The sequence below is a fragment of the Homo sapiens genome, chromosome 16 (assembly GCF_000001405.40).
Source record: "Homo sapiens chromosome 16, GRCh38.p14 Primary Assembly".
Lineage (NCBI taxonomy): Eukaryota > Metazoa > Chordata > Mammalia > Primates > Hominidae > Homo > Homo sapiens.
In genome coordinates, this window is record NC_000016.10 from 58,707,131 (window position 1) to 58,735,098 (window position 27,968).

General features: G+C 44.4%; 1 protein-coding gene and 1 pseudogene across 2 annotated transcripts, besides 6 other annotated features; both read right to left on the bottom strand.

Annotated features, from left to right (window-relative positions):
• GOT2 (glutamic-oxaloacetic transaminase 2) lies at positions 1–27,186 on the bottom strand. Of its 2 annotated transcripts, NM_002080.4 has the most exons (10): positions 27,010–27,186; positions 16,616–16,772; positions 15,020–15,148; positions 12,066–12,125; positions 11,397–11,558; positions 11,066–11,170; positions 9,533–9,683; positions 8,884–9,049; positions 2,287–2,437; positions 1–1,163 (listed from the first exon to the last, which is right to left on the bottom strand). In NM_002080.4, the coding sequence occupies exons 1-10, from the start codon at positions 27,096–27,098 to the stop codon at positions 1,041–1,043; spliced, it is 1,293 nt and encodes a 430-aa protein (NP_002071.2). In that variant the 5' UTR covers positions 27,099–27,186; the 3' UTR covers positions 1–1,040. The 2 variants fall into 2 exon arrangements, with proteins under 2 accessions (NP_002071.2, NP_001273149.1); NM_001286220.2 differs by lacking the exon at positions 15,020–15,148.
• Positions 10,925–12,124: an enhancer, noted in NCBI's record as "BRD4-independent group 4 enhancer chr16:58751959-58753158 (GRCh37/hg19 assembly coordinates)". NCBI's record gives its function as "activates an origin of replication core promoter dependent on BRD2, P300/CBP, MED14 and CDK7 cofactors, and independent of BRD4, by STARR-seq in HCT116 cells {active_cell/tissue: HCT116}" and the evidence as "EXISTENCE:reporter gene assay evidence [ECO:0000049][PMID:35650434]".
• Positions 13,875–14,169: an enhancer, noted in NCBI's record as "tiled region #2773; HepG2 Activating DNase matched - State 5:Enh". NCBI's record gives its function as "activates a minimal TATA promoter and a strong SV40 promoter by Sharpr-MPRA in HepG2 cells {active_cell/tissue: HepG2}" and the evidence as "EXISTENCE:reporter gene assay evidence [ECO:0000049][PMID:27701403]".
• On the bottom strand, positions 21,466–21,546 carry RNY5P9 (RNY5 pseudogene 9; annotated as a pseudogene).
• Positions 26,511–26,600: a silencer, noted in NCBI's record as "silent region_7555". NCBI's record gives its function as "represses an Ori minimal core promoter by ATAC-STARR-seq in GM12878 lymphoblastoid cells {active_cell/tissue: GM12878}" and the evidence as "EXISTENCE:reporter gene assay evidence [ECO:0000049][PMID:35858748]".
• Positions 26,701–26,790: a silencer, noted in NCBI's record as "silent region_7556". NCBI's record gives its function as "represses an Ori minimal core promoter by ATAC-STARR-seq in GM12878 lymphoblastoid cells {active_cell/tissue: GM12878}" and the evidence as "EXISTENCE:reporter gene assay evidence [ECO:0000049][PMID:35858748]".
• Positions 26,913–27,531: an enhancer, noted in NCBI's record as "H3K27ac hESC enhancer chr16:58767947-58768565 (GRCh37/hg19 assembly coordinates)". NCBI's record gives its function as "activates a minimal SCP1, AML or CMV promoter by ChIP-STARR-seq in naive H9 embryonic stem cells {active_cell/tissue: H9 hESC(naive)}" and the evidence as "EXISTENCE:reporter gene assay evidence [ECO:0000049][PMID:30033119]".
• Positions 27,231–27,310: an enhancer, noted in NCBI's record as "active region_10935". NCBI's record gives its function as "activates an Ori minimal core promoter by ATAC-STARR-seq in GM12878 lymphoblastoid cells {active_cell/tissue: GM12878}" and the evidence as "EXISTENCE:reporter gene assay evidence [ECO:0000049][PMID:35858748]".

Here is a 27,968-nt window from a genome sequence, read left to right on the forward strand (position 1 = left end):
TTGGGTCTACAGTAATTTTATTGTAACAGAGAAACCAGGCCGCAATAAGTCTACATGGTTAGAGCAGATGGTGGTTCTTTCCAGTGGGTGAAGCCTGAACCCAGCTAGCAGCACGCAAAGCCTAGAATATCCTCTTTCCTGGTACCACCCTGCGCCGCTGGACTCACAGTGTGAGATGAGAGGCTGCACACCACATTCAACAAAGGGAGGAGGTCCAACCGGGCAGAGACAACATCCCAACTGGAGAAACTTGCACTATCATTCAAGAGGATGCCGAGATAAAGTACAGTTTCCTACTCTCCACTATTCTTTGCTGAAAAGGGTGAGGGTACAGCATCAGCAGAAAATTATGTTCTTCATTCTTAAATAAATCTCGATAGGATGGAGTTGATGGTCAATCAAGCAGTAGAATGGGATGAAAATCTGCAATAGTTAAAAAATCTTTGCGTGTAAGGAAAAGAACGGCAATGACAAGGGAGAAAAGAGAGCCTTCTCTTTTTCTTAAATAAGACAGGAAACTGCATTATTTCCCTTGCTGGAGTGGCAGCAGCCTCATTGGTTTTCATAAAACATCATTTCTGCAGTGCGGCCTGTTGATAAGGTTGTTCCAAGATGGGAGGACAGACACGAGGCCGACTACTCATGACAGAACTAGGCCTTCTCTCAAAGCCTCTAACGTGTGCTGTTTCTCACGAGGAACCTGACACTTCAGTTAAAGCTTCTGAAATATTGCAATGGCATAATTGACAGGTTTTTTGGTGCGATGACTTTCTTGCACATGTAAACTCTTTGAGAAAAGTTGGAGAAAAAAGGACCGGGGAGAGTTTGGTTTAATATTCCAGACGCCAGCCATGGATGCCTCTGCCCTGTGTCACTACATGTTCTTTTCTGAGAAACATTCAAATGCTGAGTGTTACACACTGTGGCTGAAAGAAATGATCCACTCACCACCATCCACCCTCTCTCATTGTCTGTGTGAAGCTCTCAATAGCAGAGGCTGAAGACAGAAAGGTTGTCTCTGTTTCCTCGCACCAGGGACATTACTTGGTGACCTGGTGAATGGCATGGGCAAGGTAGCCCACGTTGCTGGAGGTGACCCCTGCCACAGAGATGCGGCCATCTTTTGTCATGTAGATGGAGAACTCCTTGATCAGCCGCTCCACCTGCAGAGAGGAAAGAACTTGGGTACCTCTTCCCGGTACAGGGGATTCTCCCCGGCCTGACATGGCACAGTAGCCAACTTACCAACGCTCTATTTCCTCGCTTAAAACCTGTTCCCAGAATTTGCTGTTAGCTTGGAATAAAATAAGAATAAAAAGCTACTTTAAGGCTGGGGCGGTGGCTCACACTTGTAATCCCAGCTATTCAGGAGGCTAAGGCAGGAGAATAGCTGGAACCTGGAACCTGGAACCTGGGAGGCAGAGGCTGCAGTGAGCCGAGATTGCGCCAATGCACTCCAGCCTGGGCGACACAGTGAGACTCCATCTCAAAAAAAGAAAAAAAAAAAAGCTACTTTAAAGTAGGATGATGAATTCTGATGCATAAACAGATGGGGAAAAAGACACCTTTAGATTCAGCAGAGCCAGGATTCAATTATGAAACAGCTATTTCTCCTGTTGCTCTCTTGGGAGAAGCAACAGTGATTATGAACATGATCAAAACAAGCTCTGCTCTTTAGAAGTTTGTGAGTTCATGGGGGATACAGAGAGGTAAACAACTAAAAAAAAAAAGCAAAATAAATGCTAAAAAGTATTACAATACTTTTACCTAAAAGGGCTCCAAAATAACTGTTTTAACTGTTTTTAGGGTAATTTTGAACAGGTGGGTGATCTATGAAGAATCCTTCTGGGGCTGGGCTCAGTGGCTCACACCTGTAATCCCAGTAGTTTGGGAGACCAAGGCAGGCGGATCGCTTGAGTCCAGGAGTTCAAGACAAGCCCGGGCAACATGGCGAAACTATGTCTCCACAAAAAATACAAAAATTAGCCAGGTGTGGTGGCACTCACTTCTAGTCCCAGCTGCTCGGGAGGCTGAGGCAGGAGGATCACTTAAGCCCTGGGAGGTGGAGGTTGCAGTGAGCTGAGATTGCACCACTGCACTCCAGCCTGGGTTTCAGAGCGAGACTGTCTCAAAACAAAAACAAAAACAAAAACAAAACAAAACAAAACAAAACAAAACAAAAAACCCGAAAACATTAAATAAAAAAGAAAAAAGAAAAAAAAGTAATCCTTCGGGTTTGCAAAGACTGATCAGCTGGTCTGCTGCAGAGAAATCAGAATCACTCACCTGTTCAGGCTTTAGCCCTGTGAAACAGAACATGCCAATTTGGTCGGTGATGTGTTGCCAATTGTGGGTGGAACCCTCCTTCTTGAGGTTGGAGACCAGTTGAGTCCGCATGCCAATGATGCGGTCAGCCATGACTTTCACTTCTTGCAGCCTGTAAAGAAACCCTGAGATGCAGCTCATTCTGCCTAAGCACTGACCGATATGCTGGAGTTCACTGCATTTTTACCTCCCTTGAGCAGTCCCCTAGTGTGCCTCAATTCTCAGGTCACGAATGAGTGACACGCTGTCACTGGCCAGGGAAGAAAGCTATTTTATAGCATTCTGTTTTATATTGGAACACTATTTCCATAAGGCAACTGAAGCAGTTAACACACTTGAGTAGAGACAGTCCTTGACTTACAACTTTTCAACTTCATGATGGCACAAATGCAATATACATTCAATAGAAACCGTACTTTAAGTACCCATACAGCCATTTTGTTTCTTTCAGTACAGTATTGAATAAATTACATGAGACATTCAGCACTCTGTTATAAAATGGCTTTGTGTTAGATGATTTTGCTTAACTGTAGTTTAATACCTGTTCTGAGCATGTTTAAAGTATGCTAGGGTAAGCTATGATGTTTGGTAGGTTAAGTGTATTAAATGAATTTTCTTTTAATGTAGAGATGGGGTTTTGCCATGTTGCGCGGTTTGGTTACAAACTCCAAGGTTCAAGCAATCCTCCTGCCTAGGCCTCCCAGAGTGCCGGGATTACAGGTGTGAGCCACCACGCCTGGCCCATTTTCTTTTTCTTTTTCTTTTTTTCAGATACAGTCCATCACCCAGTCTCAGTCTATCACCCAGGCTGGATAGTACAATGGTATGATCATGGCTCACTGCAGCCTCAATCTTCCAGGCTCAAGTGATCCTCCTGCCTCAGCCTCCCAAGTAGCTGGGACCACAAGTGCATTCCACCATGCCTTGCTAATTTTCTTTTCTTTTTTTTTTTTTTTTGTAGAGACAGGGTCTCCCCATTTTGCCCAGGCTGGTCTGGAACTCCTGGGCTCAAGTGATTCTCCCACCTTGGCCTCCCAAAATGCTAGGATTACAGACATAAGCCTGGCCTTAAATGCATTTCTGACTTATGACAGGCTTATTGGGATGTAACCCCATCATAATTGCATCTGTATTAAGAAAAGTGGGCGGGGCACGGTGGCTCACGCCTGTAATCCCAGCACTTTGGGAGGCCCAGGCGGGCGGATCACGAGGTCAGGAGATCGAGACCATCCTGGCTAACACGGTGAAACCCCGTCTCTACTAAAAATACAAAAAAATTAGCCGGGCGGATCACGAGGTCAGGAGATCGAGACCATCCTGGCTAACACGGTGAAACCCCGTCTCTAATAAAAATACAAAAAAATTAGCCGGGCGTGGCAGCGGGTGCCTGTAGTCTCAGCTGCTGGGGAGGCTGAGGCAGAAGAATGGTGTGAACCCAGAAGGCAGAGCTTGCAGTGAGCGGAGATGGCGCCACTGCACTCCAGCCTGGGTGAGAGAGCAAGACTCTGTCTCAAAAAAAAAAAAAAAAAAAAAGAAAAGTGAATGAATCACTCTAAAACCTACTAAGATTAAGGTAAAAGCTGTGGGTTAAACAAAAAAAAAAAATGACCTTATTTTTGACATGGATGAAATATACATTCCCATCTTCACAATTGAGACAATGTACTATGAATCTACAATGAGCCAAGCTATTTTAGGTGGTGAGGACTGAGACATAGTCCTTGCCTTCAAAAGCTTGCAAGGGGTGCTTGTAACCAAACCTGTAAACCAAGTATGGAATACGGCCACAAAATGTAAAACACATAGGACACTGCTATGCTAAAAGCCCCAAGGAGAGTAAATTCTGTCTGAGGGACTGGAGAAGGTAGTCCTCTGACTGTGCACGGGGATCACCTGATTCTGAATACAACCTTCCCCTTCCTCAGAATCTACCCTTTCCACTCCATTCCCATGGCTCTGGGACATTCTTGGCTCTCACCAATGACATTCCCATTTACAGTTTATCTCCCTGTTCTTAGGTGTTCACTTTCCTAAACCATCTCTGTATAATGATGTTATGCACGGTTAGAAGAGAGATCACAAACTGCCAATTAAAGACCAAATATGGGACCTAGTAATGTTTTACTTCACCCAGTGAAACGTTTTTAAATTGGGCACTTGTGCCTAAAAGCTGAAACCTGTAGTTTCTCTTGAAAAATGAGAAACGATAGCACTGTATTAGCAAAATAATTACTGGCTGGAGCTGAGGAGCCCCTGGCCCCTCCAGTTATGGCATCTGATTTTAAATTTCCTACAGTTTCCATCGTCCAGCTTCATTCACTTTGAGGCCTGGATCCCAAAGATATTGAGTGCATGAACAGGGCTAGATGTGGAGCCATCTTAGCCAAACCCCTCCATCCTCCTTGTTGCCTGGAGAATCAAGTGTTGACTTCTTACAGTATCAACCAGGGTGCTTCACGATCTGCTCCACCTTCTCAGCTTGGCTGTCTCCCACAGTCCTCCTCACATTCGTGTTTTCATCACGAAAACAACTTGGGGCTTTCTACACAAGTTCTGCATAATGCACGTCCCACGCCTATGCCCTCACTCAGATCTCTCCCCAGTTTCCTTGTCCGTTTCATTTCCTTTGCAAAAAAAAAAGCCCTTTCCCCTCTTTAATGCACAGCTCACATGCCGCAGTCCTCATTACATCTTCTCTAACTCCCCACTAGAATCAACAGCTCTCCCTTTAGTCATCATTTATTCCATTCTGTCTTATATTAAATATCATGTGTGGCCAGGCGCGGTGGCTCACGTCTATAATCCTAGCACTTTGGGAGGCTGAGGTGGATGGATCCATTGAGGTCAGGAGTTTGAGACCAGCCTGGCCAATGTGGTGAAACCCAGTCTCTACTAAAAATACAGAAATTAGCCAGTCATGGTGGTGGGTGCCTGTGATCCCAGCTCAGGGGAGCCTGAGGCAGGAGAATCGCTTGAACCCAGGAGGCGGAGGTTGCAGTGAGCTGAGATTGTGCCACTGCACTCCGGCCTGGGCCACAGAGCAAGATTCTCTCAAAACAACAACAAGAACAACAACAACAACAACAACAACAAGAACAAGAAAGTCATGTGTGTATCTTTCTCATCAGATTATAACCACCCTGAGGGTAGTCATTAACACAGTCTGGCATCTTTGTCTACTACAGACTCTCAAATTGTGTATTGAAATGCATGCATTAAAAAAAATCTTCATAACCAGAGAATATGAAAATATTTTTAAAAACATTGAAAATATTAAGTAAAAAAGCTTAGTATAATTCTAAGTGACAAAACCAAAACCAGTCCTGCACATACATATATAACAGTATGTCACAACTACAGATAACAATGGGTGGCTGGGCGCAGTGGTTCACGCCTGTAATCCCAGTACTTTGGGAGGCCGAAGTGCTAAGGTCGGGAGTTCGAGACCAGCCTGACCAACATGGAGAAACCCCGTCTCTACTAAAAATACAAAATTAGCTGGGCGTGGTAGCACATGCCTGTAATCCCAGCTACTTGGGAGGCTGAAGCAGAAGAATCACTTGAACCCAGGAAGCAGAGGTTGCAGTGAGCCAAGATTGTGCCATTGCACTCCAGCCTGGGCAACAAGAGCAAAACTCTGTCTCAAAAACAAAAACACAAAAAACAAAAAAACCACACACACAAACAAAAAACAAATAAAGAAAAAACAAACAAACAATGGGTAAGGGAAAAAAAAAGCTGAGTTAGAATAGCTAGAGTTATGGTTAATTTTTTCCCTTTCACAAACTTTCTGAAATATACTTACATGTTAATATCATGCTGCAAAAAAATATAACTTAAAAAGTACTCAAATTTTTGGTAGGTCTAGCATGAACCTATTATACCATAAAGAACTACCCTGAGCTGGGTGCGGTGGCTCACAGCTGTAATCCCAGCACTTTGGAAGGCTGAGGTGGGAGGATGACTTGAGCCCAGGAGTTTGAGACTGGCCTGGACAACACAGTGAGACCTTGTCTTTATAAAAAATCAAAAGGAAAAAACAAAACAAAACAAAACAAAAAACAAAAAAAACTATCCTGAACCAGACTCTTAGTATTTACTTTAATCTTCATGGGACAGAGAGACAGAAAAAATAGTTGTCACATGATGACTAGGGGAGGTACATATCAAGTTTCTTAGAGATAGCAGATTTAGCTTTTCTACCCAAGAGCTGCTCAGAGATGTGACCTCTCAACTAAGCAGCTCATATAACAAATATACGATAAACTCATATAACAAATCACACCTTCCACAGGCATCATGGTTTTATGAACTCATAGAGTAGGGGTTGGCATTCTTTCTGTAAATGGCCAAACAGTAATTATTTTAGGCTTTATAGGCCATATGGTCTCTGCCTTCTACAACTGCTCACTCGGCCATGGCAGCAAAGAAGTAGCTATACAAAATTCATAAACAAATGGGTACAGCTGTGTTCCAATAAAACTTTATTTACAAGAATAGGGGGCAAACTGGATTGACTCTCAGAACAGTTTGCCAACCCCTTTCTACAGCAGTGTTTTCTAAATTATGTGTCATGACCCATTGGTAGGTTAATTTTTTTATTTTTTATTTTTTTATTTTCTTTTATTTTAATAGAGACACAGTCTTGCTATGTTGCCCAGGCTGGTCTCCAACTCCTGGGTTCAAGGGATCCACCTGCCTTGGCCTCCCAAAATGCATGCTGGGATTATAGGTGTGAGCCACCTTACCTGGCTTAGTATGTTAAATTCAACTTAGTAAGATGCAGTTGGCATTTAGAAAATATTGGAGTGGAGGCTGGGCTTGGTGGCTCACGCCTGTAATCCTAGCACTTTGGGAGGCCGAGGCAGGTGGTTCACTTGATGCCAGGAGTTTGAGAACAGCCTGGCCAACATGGCGAAACCCCGTCTCTACTAAAAATACAAAAAATTAGCCGGGCGTAGTGGCGGGCGCCTGTAGTCCCAGGTACTTGGGAGGCTGAGGCAGGAGAATGGCGTGAACCCGGGAGGCGGAGCTTGCAGTGAGCCGAGATCCCGCCACTGCACTCCAGCCTGGGCGACAGAGCGAGACTCCGTCTCAAAAAAAAAAAAAAAAATTAGCTGGGTCTCGTTGTGCACACCTGTGATCCCAGCTACTCGGGAGGCTGAGGCACGAGAATTGCTAGAGCCTAGGAGGTGGAGGTTGCAGTGATTGTGCCACTGCACTCTAGCCTGGGTGACACAGCAAGACTGTTTAAAAAAAAACAAAAAACAAAACAAAACAAAAAACTCGAGTAAAGCACATGAAGCCTTTAGTATTGAGTCTGGAAGACAGTTTCAGTTATATACACATATAAGTATATAATATGTTCAAGGTCATGATGTAAAATATATATTTTTAAAATTTTATAGATGGGGTTTCAGTATGTTGCCCAGGCTTGTCTCAAACGATCTTTCCACCTCAGCCTCCCAAAGTGTTGGGATTACAGGTGTGAGCCACTGTGCCCAGACTTAAATATATTTCTTATGTGGATTGTGGTCAAAAAAATTTAGTAACACTAATTCAGAGAACAGATGTTGAGAGTCAGATAGTACAGATAATAAAAAACAAGCTGAGTGCAGTGGCTCACACCTGCAATCCCAGCACTTAGGGAGTCTGTGGTGGGAGGATCATTTGAGCCCAGGAGTTTGAGGAGACCAGCCTGGGCAAGACAGCAAGACCCTGTCTCTACAATAAAATACAAACATATGCAAAAATACGGATTCAATGCTAGCAATTATTAGGACACAAACAAAAATATGATGTTTTTAAGGAAGTTTTCCTATGTAAGGTACTTAATTTGAAACTGATTTTAGGGGAAAGCAGGTTCTACTTAACACGGAGATGACGGAATAAAAGGAACTACCATTTAAAAATTATGACTGCCTCTTACAGAGAAATATCAATTAACTTGGTTCAAAGTGCTAACAAATACTCGGGAGGCTGAGGCTGGAGGACTGCTTGAGGCCAGGAGTACAAAGTTACAGTGAGTTAGGATTGCAACACTGCACTCCAGACTGGGTGACAGAGCAAGACCCTGTCTCAACCAATCTATCTATCTATCTATATATATAGATTGAGACGGAGTTTTGCTCTTGTTGCCCAGGCTGGAGTGCAATGGCGCAATCTCGGCTCACTGCAGCCTTCGCCTCCCAGGTTCAAGTAATTCTCCTGCCTCATCCTCCCGAGTAGCTGGGATTACAGGCATGCACCACCACATCCGGCTAATTTTGTATTTTCAGTAGAGACGGGGTTTCTCCATGTTGGTCAGGCTGGTCTCGAACTCCCGACCTCAGGTGATCCACCTGCCTCGGCCTCCCAAAGTGCTGCGATTACAGGCGTGAGCCACTGTGCCCGGCCTTAATTTTTTAAAAAAGGAATGCACATTTTTTGCTTCCTTCCCTGCCTTCCACATATGGAATCTATGGGGTACTGTATATCACTAGAGGTCAATTAAAAACTAACTTTGAAGGAGCAGTGGTGGGAACAGGTAGGTGGCTGGGGAGTGGCATAAACCTTTACCATTGTTTTCGCAAATCTGGGGTGTTCAGAATGGCAGCAGCAATCCGGGCCCCATTGAGGGGAGGGTTGGAATACATGGGACGGATCAAGATCTTCAACTGTGACTCTACCCTTTTGGCTTCATCCGCATCTTTGCAGACCATAGTGAAGGCTCCTACACGCTCACCTGAAAGACAAAAATGGATCTCGTCTTCTACTTCTACTATCTAATGTGCTAAAGCAAATCATGAGTGTATTTGCTACGTATTATCTGTTTCCATCCAAAGGACCCCAAAATAACTTTATTATAAATAAAAAGCTTTCAACAACCAGAGTGGTGAACTGAGGCACAAGGAAGTTTTGAGTACTCAGAGTATTCAAAGGTATTTTTTATTGTATCTATCTTCTTGGCTCACGGATTTGTTACTTTTTGTTTAGAGAAGCAGTAATCAGTTTCCTTTGCTGGAAAAACTTAAGGACACCGAAGAATATATGGCTAAGAAAATCAGTAAAATCTACGATACTGGTCTTTCATCTTAGGGTAGGGAGGGACATGGACATGGATGGACACACACACACACACACACACACACACACCCACAAGCTCTATGCCCTCGTGGCATTCTCTCCCAGCATGAGAGCATGTGTCATGCTGGATGCTGTAGCTTACCATATAAGCCCATGTTCTTGGCATATGATTGGCAGAGGCAAACATTAATGCCCTGTTCGATGAAGTGGCGCACAGCCCAGGCATCCTTATCACCATCACCACTGGCAAAGCCTTGGTAGGCCATGTCAAAGAACGCAAAGAGATTCCTTTTCTGAGAAGGAACGAAAGATCGAAGCTTTAGCAGTCTTTCTGAAGAGGCCCCAGATGTTTATAAAAGTCTGAAAGATGTTTATGTGAGGTGGGCATGGTCCCAATAAGCACAATAAGCCTTTTCTGGGGCTAACGTAATCCTGGAAGACTCAACTTATACCCAGGACTCACGAGACAACATCATTAGAACCATTTTATCTTGAAAGTGCTCTCCAAATGCTGTTTCTGTCTCATTCTGTTTGCAGCTTAGATTTGACAGAAGTTAAAGAAAGGGAAACTGGCCAGGCATGGTGGCCCATGTCTATAATCCCAGCACTTTGGGAGGCCAAGGTGGGAGGATCACTTGAGCCCAGGAGTTTGAGATCAGCCTGGGCAACAAAGTGAGATGCTGTCTCTGTGAAAAATAGGAAGAATTAGCCAGGCAGGTGTGGCACACATGTCTGTAGTCCCAGCTACTCAGGGGCTGAGGTAGGAGGATTGTTTGAGCCCTGGAGGTAGAGGCTGCTGTGAGCTGTGACTGTGCCACTGCGTTCTGGCTTAAGGCGACAGAGTGAGACTCTGTCTCAAAAGAAAAAAAAAGAGAGAGAGAGAAAAGAAAGGGAAATGAAAAGGAGTGAAAAGGGAAAACAGGGACATGAGACAACAGGAATAACATTTTCCTCCCTAGGAATTTTGACTAGTGTCTTCTCTGACAGCTGGCTACACTTTGAGAGTGATCATGGCAATGCTGCAAAGGAGAGGACATGAAAAAGTGTTTAAAAAGATCAATAAGCAACCACTGACCAGGGCGAATATAGGCATCAACAGCAGACATCCTGGGGCCAGTGGACAGGTTTTATCAGAGTTCCCTACATCCAGGATGAGGAAAAAAATTATTTTCTTTTTTTCTTTTTTAGAGACAGAGTTTTGCTCTTGTTGCCCAGGCTGGAGTGCAGTGGCACAATCTCGGCTCACCACAATCTCCACCTCCTGGGTTCAAGTGATTCTCCTGCCTCAGCCTCCCAAGTAGCTAGGATTACAGGCATGGGCCACTACGCCCAGCTAATTTTGTAGTTTTAGTAGAGACGGGGTTTCACCATGTTGGCCAGGCTGGTCTCGAACTGACCTCAGGTGATCCACCTGCCTCGACCTCCCAAAGTGCTGGGATTACAGGCGTGAGCCACCGCGCCCAGCCAAAAAAAATTACTTTCAAATACTCATGCGTCATCAATCCCAGAACTGCTAATCACGCAAATGGGGAGCCCTTTTCTGGCAGCTTATCCACCTGTGTGGACATTTCACGCAGGTTCGAGGTTAAGACTCTCTGTTGAGACATTGCCAAATTAAGCCTCCAAAGCTGGTTACTAAACACAGAACTGTCGCCAGTGAGTTCATCGTCCTCACCTTCACCACTGTTGCTATTTCCTTCCACTGTTCCGGACGCGGGTCCACTCCCGTGGGATTGTGGGCGCAGGCATGCAGAAGAAGAACACTCTGCTCTGGTATTTTCTAAAGAGAAAAACAGCCAAGAGACGACTTTGCAGCTTTAAAGGAAATGGTTTATCTGAAATGCCACAGGATCGTCATCATTTGATAAGTAACAAAGGTAACCAGAACCCTGGGAATCAGCTCTTCCCCAGTATTTTAACTCAGATATTGGGACATGGTGGGAGACATCAAATGTCCGCAAGCAAGGAGTTTTATTCACCTCTCTCACCCTGAAAGCCACACTTACTGAAATATCCTCCACAGCGCCTGTGAAGTCAAAACCGCAAGTCTTGGGGTCATAATACCGATAACCTTGTAGCTGCATGCCAGCATCCCTGAAGATGGGTGTGTGGTTTCCCCAGGTTGGTTTGGGCAGAAAGACATCTCGGCTGAACTTAAAAAATCTTTGCTAAAAGATGGGACGAAAGGAAACAGAAAAATGAACAAAGGAGAGGCAAAAAAATGTTGATGTGTTTTATTGAGAGAACATTTTTCTCTGCTGAAACCCAGTTTCTCTCTATGGTTGAGAAGCAGTATTGACTCAGCAGTAAGACTGCCTGGGTTGGAATAGTCTCTGACAGTTATACTGGCCATGTAGCCAAGGACCTTTCTGGGTCTTGCTTTCTTCACTTGTAAAGGGGGTTAATTGTACCTCTCTCATAGGGATTAAACAAGTTAAAATGCAAAAGCTCCCTAGTAAATAGTAAGTTCCTAGTGAACTGAATTTATCATCATCACTAATATATCTTTCCTGTAATTTCTTCAAAGTCCTTTCATTTTTTCATGAGAATAGGACATCTGCAAACTTCACGGAAAGAAGAAATCTACTTCTGCATCAACAGTCAAATACACACACAACAGGAAGCCCTGTCATCTGGAATTTATAATTCTTTCCTGAAGAAGCTTCCAGACTCACCAGAAAACTGGCTCCGATCCTTAAGGCTCCAGTTCCAGAAATGGTCTGCACAGTGACAAACTGAAGGAGAGATACCCACGGTCAGTGATGTGCAACACTCTCTATACAGGCCCAGACCCAGGGCCACTGCTTTGTCCAGGACCTTTCATACTTCAGAAGCTCATTCTTTATGGCCTGTCAGTATCATTTCATGTTACACGGGAAACTTTCAGAACACAAAAATTCCTCCTCAATATGAAAAAGGGGTGAATTATATAAAAGATATAAAAAGACACTGAGAGGCTGGGTGCGGTGGCTCATGCCTGTAATCCCAGAACTTTAGGAGGCCAAGGCGGGTGGATCACCTGAGGTCAGGAGTTCGAGACCAGCCTGGCCAACATGGCGAGACCCTGTCTCTACTAAAACAAAAATTAGCTGGGCATGGTGGCGCATGCCTGTAATCCCAGCTACTGGAAAGGCTGAGGCATGAGAATTGCTTGAACCTGCGAAGTGGAGGATGCAGTGAGCCGAGACTGTGCCATTGCATTCTAGCATGGGCAAAAGAGTGAGACTCTGTCTCAAAAAAAATAAATAAATAAAATAAAAAGACACTGAGAACAGTCACTACATTAAAACATTACTTTAGAATTATACAAAGTAGAATGACTCTCTAAACATCAAAGTTCCTTGAAAAGCAAGTCAACAAGTATACAAGGATAACATTACAACATTTTAAAGGTTTTCTGGCCGGGCGCAGTGGCTTATGCCTGTAATCCCAGCACTTTGGGAGGCCGAGGTGGACGTATCACCTGAGGTCAGGAGTTCGAGATCAGCCTGACCAACATGGAAAAACCCTGTCTCAACTAAAAATACAAAATTAGCCAGGTGTGTTGGCGCATGCCTGTAATCCCAGCTACTCAGGAAGGCTGAGGCGGGAGAATTGCTTGAACCCAGGAGGCGGAGGTTGCGTTGAGCTGAGATCGTGCTATTGCACTCCAGCCTGGGCAACAAGAGCGAAATTCCATCTCTAAATAAATAAATAAATAAAGGTTTTCTAAGAGGTCCCCTTCTATGTGTTTTCATAATCTGAAAATATTCATGTTTTGGGTAATAGGAAGATGCCTAAGGTGAATCTCCTTATTCAAATTGGTCAACTTTAAGGGACAAACAAGAAATTACCATAGGTTTAAGAGGTTTTTGTTTGTTGTTTTTAAAGGTGTTGTAGAAGTACAAGGCTCTACAAAGCACAAATGTATTTTTCTGGACTGGGGTGGTAGTAGATTAAAGAGGGAAAAACCCAACTAAAAAATTATTTTAAATAGTTTGTCCTGCAAGCTTTGGCATGATGGAAATAAAAACCTCACTGTAGGTCCGATGATACTACGATTCACAAAGGCACAACAATTTTTTTTTTTTTTTTTTGAGATAGGTTCGTGCTCTGTCACCCAGGCTAGAATGCAATGGCATAAACTTGGCTCACTGCAACCTCCACCTTCTGGGTTCCAGGATTCCTCCCATGTCAGCCTCCCCAGTAGCTGAGACTACAGGCGTGCACCACCACACCTGGCTAATTTTTGTATTTTTAGTAGAGACGGGGGGGCGGGTCTCACCATATTGGTCAGGCTGGTCTCGAACTCCTGACCTCAGGTGATCCACCCGCCTTGGTCCCGGAAAGTGCTGGGATTACAGGAGTGAGCCACTGCGCCCGGCTGAGGCACAACAACTTATAAAAGACAAGCTGATGTTATTTTAAGGTAGGCCAGTTTCATACTTAGGTTGTTATTTAGATGGAGCAGAGACTAGGCAAAAGAGCACATGAATTAAAAAGTACAGAAATTTCCAGGAGGGGCTAACAGGCAGTTGACTGTATGGACAGAACTAAACCAAATTCTATTTGACGTAGGATAATTACTACATAACCCTGGGGTTGAGGTTGTGTGCTTTACTCTGAGTTAACGAATTCATGTGTGGACTTAGACCAGTCTTGTAAATAAAGTGTATTTATTCTGGCTTTTCAGAGGGGGAAGGGCAGAAAAAATGTTGACTTAATTTTGCTAGTTTGTATGTTTCTTCACTCCCCAGGCTTACCCAGAAAAACGTACAAATGCACTCACTAAAAAACATGTTTTTTTCAAAAGAAAGTGAACCACAATGTGCACGAGTTCACATGTTGGGAGCGTGGTCTTCTTTCTGTGTCCATGTGGGCTGTGAAGGGACAGCAGAGGGCTGCCAGACTGGTCCAGCCCCCACAGTCCACCCATGGCTTGTTTCCTGCTTGCTGCTTCTGTGCAAGTTGGAAGCTTAGGACATGAGGGTGTGGGCTAACTGCAGGCTTAAAACTCGGCATAGTTAACATTTCTAAAGCATATTTGATGTAAAATGAACATAAGCAGGTAGAGACTAACAGCAAAAGTAACATCAAATCTATCAGTCAAATGACTACCGCATTTTCAGGATTACTACTAGTACATTTTTGGAATTGGTGTCATGTAAATTATTTTATTTAATGATGGCAATTTACTATCAAATAAGAATTATTAGAAATAGTGTGGCCTCCTCAAAACAATCATTACACACAAAATGAGTTATCTTTTCATATTTCTTAAATTTTTTTTTTTTTTTTGAGATGGAGTTCTGCTGTTGTTGCCCAGGCTGGAGTTCAATGGCATGATCTTGGCTCACCACAACCTCTGCCTTCCAGGTTCAAGTGATTCTCCTGCCTAAGCCTCCTGAGTAGCTGGGATTACAGGCATGTGTCACCATGCCCGGCTAATTTTGTATTTTTAGTAGAGATGGGGTTTCTCCATGTTAATCAGGCTGGTCTCGAACTCCCGACCTCAGATGAACCACCCGCCTTGGCCTCCCAAAGTGGTGGGATTACAGGCGTGAGCCATCGCGCCTGGCCTAAAATTGTTTAAATAATTACAAATTTGTTAAAACAGACCTGGGATGATGCCAGAGCCTGCTCAGCTTACCCGGCCACTCTTCAAGACTTCGCTGTTCTCACCCAGGGCTAGTTCTGCAGATGCCTTGCAAAATTCAGCCAGTCCCCCAATGGGCAGGTATTCCTTGTCCAAATTTTTTGCGGCAATCTGGGCCTCTGCCTAGACAAGAGAAAATACATCCATTGAATTTCTTCTCCTTACTTGGAATTACTATGATTAATGTTTAAAGTTTTATAAGTTAAGTTTTGGAGGTAAAGTCTTTTTTTTTTGAGATGGAGTTTTGCTCTGTCACCCAGGCTGGAGTGCAGTAGTGTGATCTCGGCTCACTGCAACCTCCACCTCCCGGGTTCAAGTGATTGTCTTGCTTCAGCCTCCCGAGTAGCTGGGATTACAGGCGTGCACCACCACGCCCAGCTAATTTTGTATTTTTAGTAGATACGGGGTTTCACTATGTTGGCCAGGCTGGTCTCGAACTCCTGACCTCAGGTGATCCACCTGCCTCGGCCTCCTAAAGTGCTGGGATTACAGGCATGAGCCACTGCGCCCGGCCAAACCTTTTTTTAAAATTTGAAGTTACTCTCTGAGAAGAAGGGTAGGTAGAATGCTTGATAGTTTGTATTGCAGAACAGAAATACTTTCTTTTTCAAATTGTATTTTATTGTTTAAGTTAGGTTTTATGTGGATGGGTATAGTCTCTCTTGGTTACAATTTAACATAAAATGAGATTCTTGGAATGCACAAGACCAAGGTTTAAGAGCAACACCTAAAATAGATATAAGATGATTAAATCAAACTAAATACAAAAGAGAAAGCATGTCAAGCTATATGCCAGTCTAAGAACTTCGAAGTGTTAACAGTAATAGCCACACATCTTCGTGCTTTGGCATTGGAAGCCTGGCTGTCCCTTACAAGTTGTGTTACCCTAGGCAAGTTATTTAGCCTTCCTGAGCCTCAGTTTCCTCCTCTGTTAAATGGAGGAACTATTTCTACCTCTCACAGTGTTGAGGTGAAGTGTGAATGAGGGAATGTACAATAGTGCTTGGTAGTGATGCAGGTTGCAGTAGCAAATACTTGCTGAATAACTTAAAAAATTATTCTAAGGGGATTTGTTATATTATTTAGTTAACAAATAAAGATGCTACTAATAAAAATATAACAAAAGAAAGAGGTGAAAATTGCATAGCTCAGCAGGAAGAAAGGACAGAGCATGCCTGTGTACAAAGGTTTGATTAAAGTAATCACAGTTAGAGAAATGGAAAATAAAAATAGTAATCCACGAAGAGCTATTCCTCTCAACAAGAGACAGCGCTTAAAGTCTTGGTCCTCTTATGCACCTTCAGGATTAAAGTAGGCATAGCTAAGCATTTCTAAAGCGTATTTAATGTCTGTTTTATAGATGATCACAGAACCATAGAAAGTTCAATCTTGGGAAAAAACAGGTGGTTCCAACCTCTCACCTTTACAGTCAAGGAGACTACAGCCCAGAAAACCCGGGTGATTCATGCCATTAGTGCCAGAACTAAAGCCCAGGGCTCCTGATTCCCGGTCCAGCACTATTCCTGCCACTCTCCAGGGCTCTCTTCAGTTTATTCATCCCATTCAAAAGGAGATGAACAGCAAGCTCACCTTGCGGACGCTAGGCAGAACGTAAGGCTTTCCATTATCATCCCGGTAGGCACCAACTCCCAGATTCATCTTTTTGCTATTGGTGTCCCTCTTAAAGGCTTCAGTGACTCCCAGAATGGGATCTGGAGGTCCCATTTCCACATGGGTCCACCAGGAGCTGAAATGAGAAACACATTAGCTCAATCCCATTAGCTAGATCCAAGATCCATTTTACTTATTTATTTATGAGATAGACTCTTGCTCTGTTGCCCAGGCTGGAGTGCAGTGGTGCTATCTTGGCTCACTGCAGCGTTTGCCTCCTGGGCTCAAGTGATTCTCCCACTCCAGCCTCCCAAGTAGCTGGGATTACAGGCATGCATTACCACGTCAGCTAATTTTTGTATTTTTAGTGGAGATGGGGTTTCACCATGTTGGCCAGGCTGGTTTTAAACTCCAGACCTCAAGTGATCCACCGCACCCGGCCATATTACTCTTATATATTTAAAATTATGAAAAATACAAATTTGTGTTAAATAAAATTGAATTGCTATTCTGACAAACTTTTTTTTTTTTTTTGAGACAGAGTCTCGCTCTGTCACCCAGGCTGAAGTACAGTGGTGCAATCTTGGCTTACTGCAGTCTCTGCCTCCAGGGTTCAAACAATTCTGCCTCAGCCTCCGTGAGCCAAAACAGTATTGATTTACAGAAAATTGAGCAGATAGTACAGTCCCATATACCCTTACCCCCAGGTTTCCCCTATTAACATTTTACATTGGTATGGCACACTTGTTACAATTAATGAATCCATACTGATACATTATTATTATTATTTTTGAGACAGTTTCCCTCTTTGTCACTCAGGCTGGAGTGCAATGACGTGATCTCAGCTCACTGCAACCTCTGCCTCCCATGTTCAAGCGATTGTCCCACCTCAGCCTCTGGAGTAGCTGGGATTACAGATGACCGCCACCATACCCAGCTAATTTTTGTATTTTTGGTAGAGACGGGGTTTCGCCATGTTGGCCAGGCTGGTCTCAAACTCCTGACCTCAGGTGATCTGCTCGCCTTGGCCTCCCAAAGTGCTGGGATTACAGGCATGAGCCACCATGCCTGGTCCATACATTATTAGGTCCACACATTATTTAGATTTCCTTAGCTTTTACCTATTTCTGTTCCACGATTCCATCTAGGACACCACATTATGCTTAGTTGCATGTCTCCATAAGCTCCTCTTCGCTGTGACAATTTTGGGAATGCTGGTCAGGTATCTTGTAGGATGCCCCTCTACTGGAATTTGTCTGATGTTTTTCTTATTAGACTGGGGATAAGCTTTTGGGAGAACAGTAATTGTATTTTGTAATATGCCAGCTTGACAATTTCTTTCTTTCTTTTTTTTTTTTGGAGCTGGGGGATGGAATCTCACTCTGTCACCCAGGCTGGAGTGTAGTGGCGTGATCTTGGCTCACTGCAAACTCCGCCTCCTGGGTTCAAGTGATTCTCCTGCCTCAGCCTCCCAAGTAGCTGGGATTACAAGTGTCCGCCACTACACCCAGCTAATTTTTGTGTTTTTAGTAGAGATGGGGTTTTACCACGTTGGCCAGGCTGGTCTTGAACTCCTGACCTCATGTGATTTGCCCGCCTCAGCTTCCCAAAGTGCTGGGATTACAGGCGTGAGCCACTGCGCCTGGCCTTGAAGACAATTTCTAAGATCTTTAGGGTAACTTACACTTTTGGTCTAATATTACAATGAATTGATTAACAGATTATTATTCATTGTATACCTAAATAATTTCTAAGATAGACTACAGACACATTGATTACCAAGCATAATTTAAAATTTATATACCTTTGTTTATTTTTACATGCTCGAGAGGCTATAGCTTTGAGTCATTAAAATAAAAAGGTCTTTCTTTGTTGCCACTTTAAGGAGGTATAAAAGGGATACATGTGGCTGTAGAAGTTGTACTGCGTGTGTTCACGAGTTTTGCCAGTCTGTTTAGAATGCTTGTGTAGGACTGACATCACCACCCTCTCTTCTTAATTTTCTCTGGGAAATAGAAGCTACTTTGGTTAAAAGATAAGCAATGAGTGTTGAGACCACACTAGGATCAACAGTGACAAATAAATACAACTGTGTGTTTTTAAGGAAAAAGAGTAGTATTGGTCTAAAGCAGCAATTCTCAAACTTTGTGATCTTTAGATCCTGTTATACTCTTAAAACTTACTGAAAACCCCAAAGAGCTTTTATTTATGTGGGGTATAACTATTAATACTTACTGTATTAGAAAAACTGAGCAGCTTGTTATACTTTTTGATTCATTTGACAATAGCAATGATGGAAACACATTGCATGCTAACATAACTAACACAGAACATGTTCCCAGGGAGAACTACCATCCTAAAAGACCAGTTTGTTTTAAATATGAAAGAGCATATGAGGACAAAACTTAGTGAATTTTGTTTATTTTTTATTTTTTTGAGACGGAGTCTTGTTCTTGTCGCCCAGGCTGGAATGCAATGGTGCGATCTCGGCTCACTGCAACATCCGCCTCCCGGGTTCAAGCGATTCTCCTGCCTCAGCCTCCCAAGTAGCTGGGATTACAAACTCCTGCCACCATGCGCAGCTAATTTTTGTATTTTTAGTAGAGACGGGGTTTCGCCGTGTTGGCCAGGCTGGTCTTGAACTCCTGACCTCATGATCCACCCACCTCGGCCCCCCAAAGTGCTGAGATTACAGGCGTGAGCCGCCCCCGGCCTGCTTTATTTATTTATTTATTTATTTATTTTTGAGACGGAGTCTTGCTCTGTCACCCAGGCTGGAGTGCAGTGGCACGATCGTGGCTCACTGCAACCTGTCTCTGGGTTCAAGCGATTCTTCTGCCTTAGCCTCCCAAATAGCTGGGATTACAGATGTGTGCCACCCCGCCTGGCTAATTTTTGTATTTTTAGTAGAGACAAGGTTTCACCCTGTTGGTCAGGTCTCTACCTCCTGACCTCAAGTGATCCACCCACCTTGGCCTCCCAAAATGCTAGGATTACAGGCGTGAGCCACTGCACCCGGCTGTGAATTTTGTTTTGATTTATAGTAAGTGAATCTGAAAAGAAGCTGAGTTAACTTTTTTTTTCTTTTTTAAAGAGATGGATCTCGGCCGGGTGCAGTGGCTCACGCCTGCAATCCCAGCACTTTGGGAAGCCGAAGTAGGCGGATCACCTGAGGTCAGGAGTTTGAGACCAGTCTGACCAACACGGTGAAACTCTGTCTCTACTAAAAATACAAAAATTATCTAGGCAAGGTGGCGTGCGCCTTTAATCCTAGCTACTTGGGAGGCTGAGGCATGAGAATCGCTTGAACCCAGGAGGCGGAGGTTGCAGTGAGCCGAGAATGCACCACTGCACTCCTGCCTGGGCAATAGAGCAAGACTCCGTCTCAATAAACAAACAAACAAAGAGATGGGTCTCACTCCGTCCCCCAGGCTGAAGTGCAGCCTTGACCTCCTAGACTCAAGCCATCCTCCCACCTCAGCCTTTCAAGTAGCTGGGACTACAGGCGCACACAAGTTAACATTTTAACAAAGTTTGCCCAATCTTGATGGCCTAGTTTCCTTGGTTTAGTCATTAATGACTTCACCTACAATATAAAAGGTTTTTTTTTTTTTAAAAAAAGAAAAAACTGTGCAATCAGTTTAGAGTGTAGAGATTCTCTGCCTTGCCAGAACACTTTTCTAGGCTTTATGATCTTCTAAAGCAATCATTAAGAACATTATGCTAAGGGCTGGGAATGTAAAGAAGAGTACAACACAATCCCTTACCACCTGACTAGTACACTGTGGTGATCAGCAGAGATCTGCACGTAATGCAGGCTGGGCACTGCAGGGAGATGATGGATAGTGATACACACCTACCCAGGGCATTATTATGGGATATTACTTATGGGAGCCCTGAGCAGAGGACGTAATAGCTTGGAGAAGGGAAGGAAAGTACTGCACAAGGTTAGGAAGGCTTCCCAGAGGACGTGACTTAGCAGCTGAGTGCTAAGGCTGAAAGGAGGAGTAAAAGGGCTTTCCAAGAAGAGAATTAAGAATAAAGGCTCACGGTGAGAAGGAGCTGGGGGTTGTTGCAGGAGAATCGCTCAAGTTCTCCTAGTAATCACTCATCCACTGTGAATCAGCCACATGTTTCAGTATGGTACCATGGAAGTTCTCCGTGTTCACCATGCTGATAAACTCGTGAATTACCTCATGAACATTTCTTTCCCAACAAAGGTTCTCTTAATGTACTTGTGGCTAGTCAGCACTCATACACCTCACTCCTCCATGGGGCACACTTGATGGCAGTACAGAGTTTAATTCATGCTCCCTTGACAAGTTAAAGACTGCTGCAGTCTCAATCGTTGTAATTAATTAGTGTGTACAGTCAATTCTCTGTTATTAAAGGGCAGATTATTTCCAGTTTTTTGGATTTCCCAGGCTCTTATTTCTTGTAATGTTTCTTTTAATAGTTTGCCTTGGGTAATTTCAGTACTGGGCAAACTGTACGGATTCAAATAATAGCTCAGCCACCTGCCAGCTGTGTGAGCACTGGCAAGTAAATCAAGCATCAACTTTCCTTATCTGTAAAATGGGGCCATAAAACTACCTATCTCACAGGGCTGGTCTAATGATGAAAAAAACACTCAAAACCTAAATTGGCAGAGTGCCTGATGTTCGCTAATAGTCATCGTTACTAAATTATTATCACTCCACTTTTATTTGTAACCATCCTGCATCCTAGTACAGAGCCTGGTGAGGCCAGTATGTAGAGAATTCAAGGAGCATATGCAGCCGTAAGACCTTGTGACCAAATGCAGGTCCTTTCTGTTTTTCTTTCTCTTTAAATACAAAGCAAATCAAGCATGGCTGTGGGGGGAGACAATGTTAATCAGTTTAACAATAACCCACAACCCTCCAACCAACCTTTTCTGCTTTTCTTTTTTTTGAGACAGAGTCTCACTGGGTTGCCCAGGCTGAACTGTAGTGGCACGATCTCAGCTCACTGCAAGCTCCACTTCACGGGTTCAAGCGATTCTCCTGCCTCAGCCTCCCAAGTAGCTGGGATTATAGGCACCCGCCACCACGCCCGGCTAATTTTTTTATTTTTATTTTTAGTAGAGATGGGGTTTTGCCATGTTGGCCAGGCTGGTCTTGAACCCCTGACCTCAAGTGATCTGCCCGCCTCAGCCTCCCAAAGTGCTGGGATTACAGGCGTGAGCTACCGCACCCGGCCCTTTTCTGCTTTTCAATTACTACTGCATAGTTTTTTCTAGAGAATCAGGAGACACTGCCATTATCACCCTTCCCCCTCACTAGTGTTGGTGCCAGTTCTTTTAATAGCTTGCCTCTCATTTTGTGTTGCTGTGGCTCTAGGTTGCTTGGCTGTTCCTAGTACCTAGGCAATAGTAAGAAGCACAGATACCTTAAACCAACTTCTGAACTGGGCCTGAAGAAAGCTTTCATTATTACTTATCCACAATTCAGACCCTGAAAACATGCAGCCACCTGTCTATCTACATCACTGTCATTAACTGCCGAGTGAAAGGAATACCCTGAATGTCAAGGACATACTAGATTATAAAAGAGAACACTTCTGGAAAAGTTTTCATTTTTCAAAAGATGGTCTGGCTGGGCATAGTGGCTCTTGCCTGTAGTCCCAGCTACTCAGGAGGCTGAGGTGGGAGGGTCACTTAAGCCTAGTGTTTGAGACAAGCCTGGGCTACATAGAGACCCTGTCTCAGGAAGAAAAAAAAAAAAAAAGAAAAAGAAAAAGAAAAAACAATGGTCTGTATCCTCCAAGACCCTCAATCATAACAAAGCCACTGCCCATTGCTCCCTACCACAAGGAGAGAAAGCATCATTCTTGTTAAATGGTGTGAAAAGCACTTATTTTTCAAGTTCTTTAAAATGTTAAGCATAGAAACTCAGAAACCATAGACTTGTGTCTTCTGGTATACCTTTTAAGAATTCTTTTTTTTTGTTTTTGTTTTTGCTTTGGAAAATGACATGTTTTTATCGCTATGTTTGCACAGTAAGAATGTCCCCGCAGGCCCACCACCCTCCCTCAGCCCCAGCCCTCCAGCCTCTGTCTTTTAAGAATTCTAAACACAATTTCAAAATACTGAATTTTTAAACAATCTAAATATAGGAGCAGGGATACTCAATTTTTTTTTTAAAAATGTAATAAATTATGTTCATTTTACAATTACAATGCTAGTTTTGAGATTGAAAATGAAGTACAGATTAAAGAACACAGGTATGAAAACTATGTATCTATTGCTTGAGACAAGTTTATAATCCAGATCACAAGGAAAGTTATTCTTAGCCAGAGAGAGAGGAAGGGGTTGCCTAGCTAGGGAACACTGACAATTTATGGAGACATTTCTGTTTGTTGAAACTCTGGGGGAAAGCAGGTGCTACTAGCATCTGAAGGGCAGAGGCATGGGAGGTTTTTTTAACTTTTATTTCAGGTTCACGGGTACATGTGCATGTCCTGGGGGTTTGGTGTACAGATAATTTCATCATCTGGGTAATAAGCATAGTACCTGACAGTTATTTTTTCTGATTCTCTCCCTCTTCCCATTCTCTACCCTCAGGTAGGCTCCAGTGTCTGTTGTTCCCCTCCTAGAGGGATACAATTTTTTTTTTTGAGACAGGGTCTCACTCTGTCACCCAGGCTAGAATGCAGTGGCGTGACCACGGCTCACTGCAGCCTCTACCTCCCGGGCTCAAGTGATCCTCCCCGAGTAGCTGGGACTATGGGTGTGTGCCACCGTGCCTGGCTAGTTTTTTGTAGAGATGGGGTTGTGCCATATTGCCCAGGTTGGTCTCCAACTCTTGAGCTCAAGTGATCCTCCTACCTTAGCATCCCAAAGTGCTGAGATTACAGGTGTGAGCCACGGCACCTGGCCTAGAGGGAATACTCAATTTGATTAGCCCCACATTAGTAACCATCTTTCAACTCCTCCATGCCTTTCATTATTCCATTTCTTAAAATGGTAAAGACTACACACATATTGTAAGAACTCTGATGTTTTTAAAGGAATCGAGTAGATGAAAATAGGAGTGTTCTAGGGGCAAAACTCATGCTGATAACCTGTGACCTAGAAAGTGATTTCTATCAGTACATTTTGGATACAGGCACAAAGCCTCAAACATTGAGCAATATTGACTGGTCATCCAAGAGAGGTTAGGTACCAAGTATTCAGGTAAGCCTTTCCAATCGAAACGCATTGTAATTTCCCTGGAGCTTAAGCCTACTTAAAGTTTTACAGTTTTTAAACTGCTTTTCCTCACATTCTTCTTACTTTAAAATCAGAAGGGAAGTTAATTAGCTTGCCCACAATCACAGAGCTAAAAATGGCAGAGACAATAGCACAGCTGTGATCTTTTTTTTTTGAGACACAGTCTTGCTTTGTTGCTCAGGCTGGAGTGCAGCGGCGTGATCAGCGGGCTCACTGCAACTCTTCACCTCTCAAGCGATCAGGCTCGAGCGACCCTCCCACCTCAGCCTCCCAAGTAGCTGGGACTCCAGGTGCACATCACCATGCCCGGCTAATTTTTGTATTTTATGTAGAGACGGGGTCTTGCCATGTTGCCCAGCTGGTCTAGAACTCCCGAGCTCAAGCAATCCACCTGCCTCAGCCTCCCAAAGTGCTAGAATTACAGGTGTGAGCTACTGTGCCTGGTCTGTGATCTTTTAACCAATGGTTATGGTACCACAGTTGCACACTGCATTTTTAAAGTCTCACGAGACCTGCTCAGTTATTTCACCAAAAAGTAAATAATCAGAATTAAATAATTAAAAGCAAATCATTATAAATCAAAATACATTAGCATCTTTTTTTTTCTTCATTGAACTGCAACTATGTCTGATCTCATGTCACTATACATTTACAGTACAAGTCAACAAGAGAAAGTTTTATTCGCAGTGTTTAGCTAAATGATACACTTGAACTTACAAAGAGTTCCACATATTTACAAAGAGTTCCAAGTATGCCATTGGATAAATCCTCAGTTCTTCAGAATAACAACAGACAAGGTTTTATTGTATTAGAATGAGCCATTTAAATAGAAATGTCGATGAATTCAGTTTAAGTATTTTCCACTTTTACCATTTGGAGCTAGGTAAAGATCACTTCCACAGTGTAAGGAGGGAAGTCTGATCTTGCCTGAAGAGTTAACCTTCATGCCAAATATGGCATCTGATTCTGTCACCTAATCAGGTATCATTATTTAAATCTGAAGAGTAATTCCTCAACATTAGGTGCTCAACTATTTCAAGAATTTATTTTCTGGTCAGGTGGGGTTGCTTAGCCTATAATCCCAGCGCTTTGCGGGGCTGATGTGGGAGGAGTCTGAGACCAACACAGGGAGACTCTGTCTCTACAAAAAATAAAAAATTAGCTGGGTGTGGTGGTGTATGCCTGCAGTCCCAGCTACTTGGGAGGCTGAAGCAGGAGGACCACTTGAGCCTGGAAGGTCAGGCTGCAGTGAGCCATGATTGTGCCACTGCACTCCAGCCTGGGCAACACAGTGAGACCCTGTATTTAAAGAAAAAAAAAAAGGGAATTTTTTTTGGTACATATTTTGCAGCACTGTGGTTCCCCTGTGTAAGATTAGTCGAGAGAAGGAACAATAAAATCTGTAACTGGTTATGATCAATTAGTTGTAAACACCATTACACTTGGACCAGCCTATGTTCAGATTTTGATCTAAGATACAACATTAAAATGTCATACTGTATTTGTTTCCGTTGCATTACGTGAAAAATCAGGGCTTAAAATAAAAATATCCAATATAAGAGACATGCCAGCAACTGTTAATAGTGCTGAGATGTAACAGTGAATATAAAGTAGGTAAAGTCTCCGCTCTCATGGAACTTACATTCTAGTAAGAAAAATACAGAAAAGAAAAATGAGTCAGACTCTCAAACTGAAAGAATGACTAACCCTGACCCCAAGGGATTTTCACCAAGCACTAGAGCTTCAGGTGATCTAGCCAAATCCATAAAACAAGGTATTATTTTAAGATTACTGCAATAGGGAAACATACTTTCTCTTGACGGAAATTTTAAGCACTCCTTTGGTTTTCCAAATTTGTTGCATAAATAACTCCTCCTGGCTCTGGCCCACTAGGTAGGCAGACTTAAAGAGCACACGTTGACAGTGGGCCAGGAAGGAGCCAAGTCAGGAAGAGAAAAAAGTGCGAAGCCTGGGCAAAACTGTACTGCCAAGGCTGTGGGGCCTTGGAAAGGACAGATAGTTCTGCTGGCTGAAAGACACAGAGCATACATTCAAACGAAAGGCCAAGCTACGCTTTGCTCCTTGCAGTTAATACCTGCTTGGGGGTGGTTTTAAAACTCAGTTCCTTATTAAGGTAGTGCTTAAGGAGAGTGCTCCAAATCGGCTTCTTGAGTTGAATTAATCTTCTGGCTCCGGTCTCCACTGGGAATGAATTACTAGAGCTCGTTTCAAGCTCTGAAATTTCCCTCCATACTATTATACACGCCACAGTACGAAATTACGTTTGTCATTTTTTGAGCAATGACCATTTGTCATTGTCCTTCCCTCGCCTTGTTCACAGTTGTATCGTTGGCATCTGGTCCAGAGCCTGGCTCTGAGAAACTGCAGTTACGAAATATTTACTGAATGAAAGAGCACAGGGAGATGGAGAGGAAGATTGATAGCCTCCCTGCAACCGGACCTCCTTAGGGGCAATAAGGAAAAAACAAAACAAAACAAAAAAAGAGACACACTACACCTCGACCCTTTCCCAAGCAAAGGCCAAACGGGCCCCGGGGTCACAGGGACCTCGGGGGGTCGCAAGGTCAGGAGAATGCCGCACGCCAAGGTCGCAGGTGCGGGAAGGAAAGCGAGGCCCGAATGCCGGCGCCCCGGAAACCTTCCTCTCGCGCTCTTCCCGCCCAGGGCACACACGCGGCAGCCAGCCGCCGCCGGCCCACCGACTCGGGCGGGCCGGGGGCCAGGACAGGTGCGCCCGCCGCCCCCAGGGCACCCTATCAAGGGCACGGTCGTTACCCGGCGCCGCTGCCCCAGTACTATCCGCACCCCTCCCACTGAATGGGAGTCCGGCAACCGCCGAGGGCCACACTTCCTTTCCCTAGGGATTGCGTTGCACGCCTTCCTGCAGGGCCCAGTGCGGGGACCAGAGGGATGTGGGATCCTGAGGATCACTGTGGGGCACGGACGCTCAATCCTCAGTCCCCAGTAAGGGAAAGCCGAGGGGGTGGCAGAAAAGTGTGTGTGTGTGCGTGTGAGTGACAGTGTGTATTTGGGGGCCGGGAGGGGTGAATGTCCTGGGGTGCTCGCAGCTCGGCGGGGCAGGGCCATCGCCCTGGCTCCATCTCCGTTTCCCTTGGCTTACCTGGCTCTGGCAGAGGCCGCGGCGGCGAGGCCCGGGTGGAAGGCGGCGGCGATCCCGGGGAGGACGCGGCCGGAGTGCAGCAGGGCCATGGTGGACCGTAGGAGGGCAGTGGGCAGCCGCAGGACGGAGCAGAGGGCGAGCGGACACACACACAGGGAACCGGCTCCTGCTGAAGGTAAGGACAGGGACTTCCCTGGGCCAGAGCGGCCGCGTGCTGGGCCCGAGCCACGTCACAGCGATCCCTGGCGGCCGGCGGGCGGAGCGGCGTGGGCTCAGCGGAGGTCGTGGAAGAGGATGACTGCACAGTTTACCTACGCCCAGCCCTTGCTGCGCTTCATTCATTTAATCCAGCTGGGCCAGGCCTGGCCGGCCGAAGAGGTGGCTGCTGTTATGGCAGTTTGAAAGATGAGAAAATGTAGGCTGACATAGTTGACGTATTTTGTCTGATGCCTTACAGCCATTAGGACCCAAGGTGGCCTTACTTTCAACCCTAATAGTTTCCCTAAGCACAAGTCATGTCACGTCGTTCCTGAATGTTTCCTTATCCCCCACCCTTTTTTTTTTTTTTTTTTTTTTGAGATGGAGTTTCACTCTGTCACCCAGGCTGGAGTGCAGTGGCGTGATTTCGGCTCACTACAACCTCTGCCTCCCAGGTTCAAGCGATTCTCCTGCCTCAGCTCCCCGAGTAGCTGGGTTACAGGTGCCACCACCACGCCCGGCTAATTTTTGTATTTTTAGTAGAGACGGGGGTTTCACCATGTTGACCAGTCTGGTCTCAAACTCCTGATCTCAAGTGATCTGCCCGTCTCAGTCTCCCAAGACTGCTAGGATTACAGGCATGAGCCACCGCACCTGGCTTCCTTATCCCTTTTATGGAGAGGGTCGCATGTGTATTTTGTGGGGCAGTTGTGAGGATTAATAAGATTAGCAGATTATGTCTAAAACAGGGCCTGATTTAG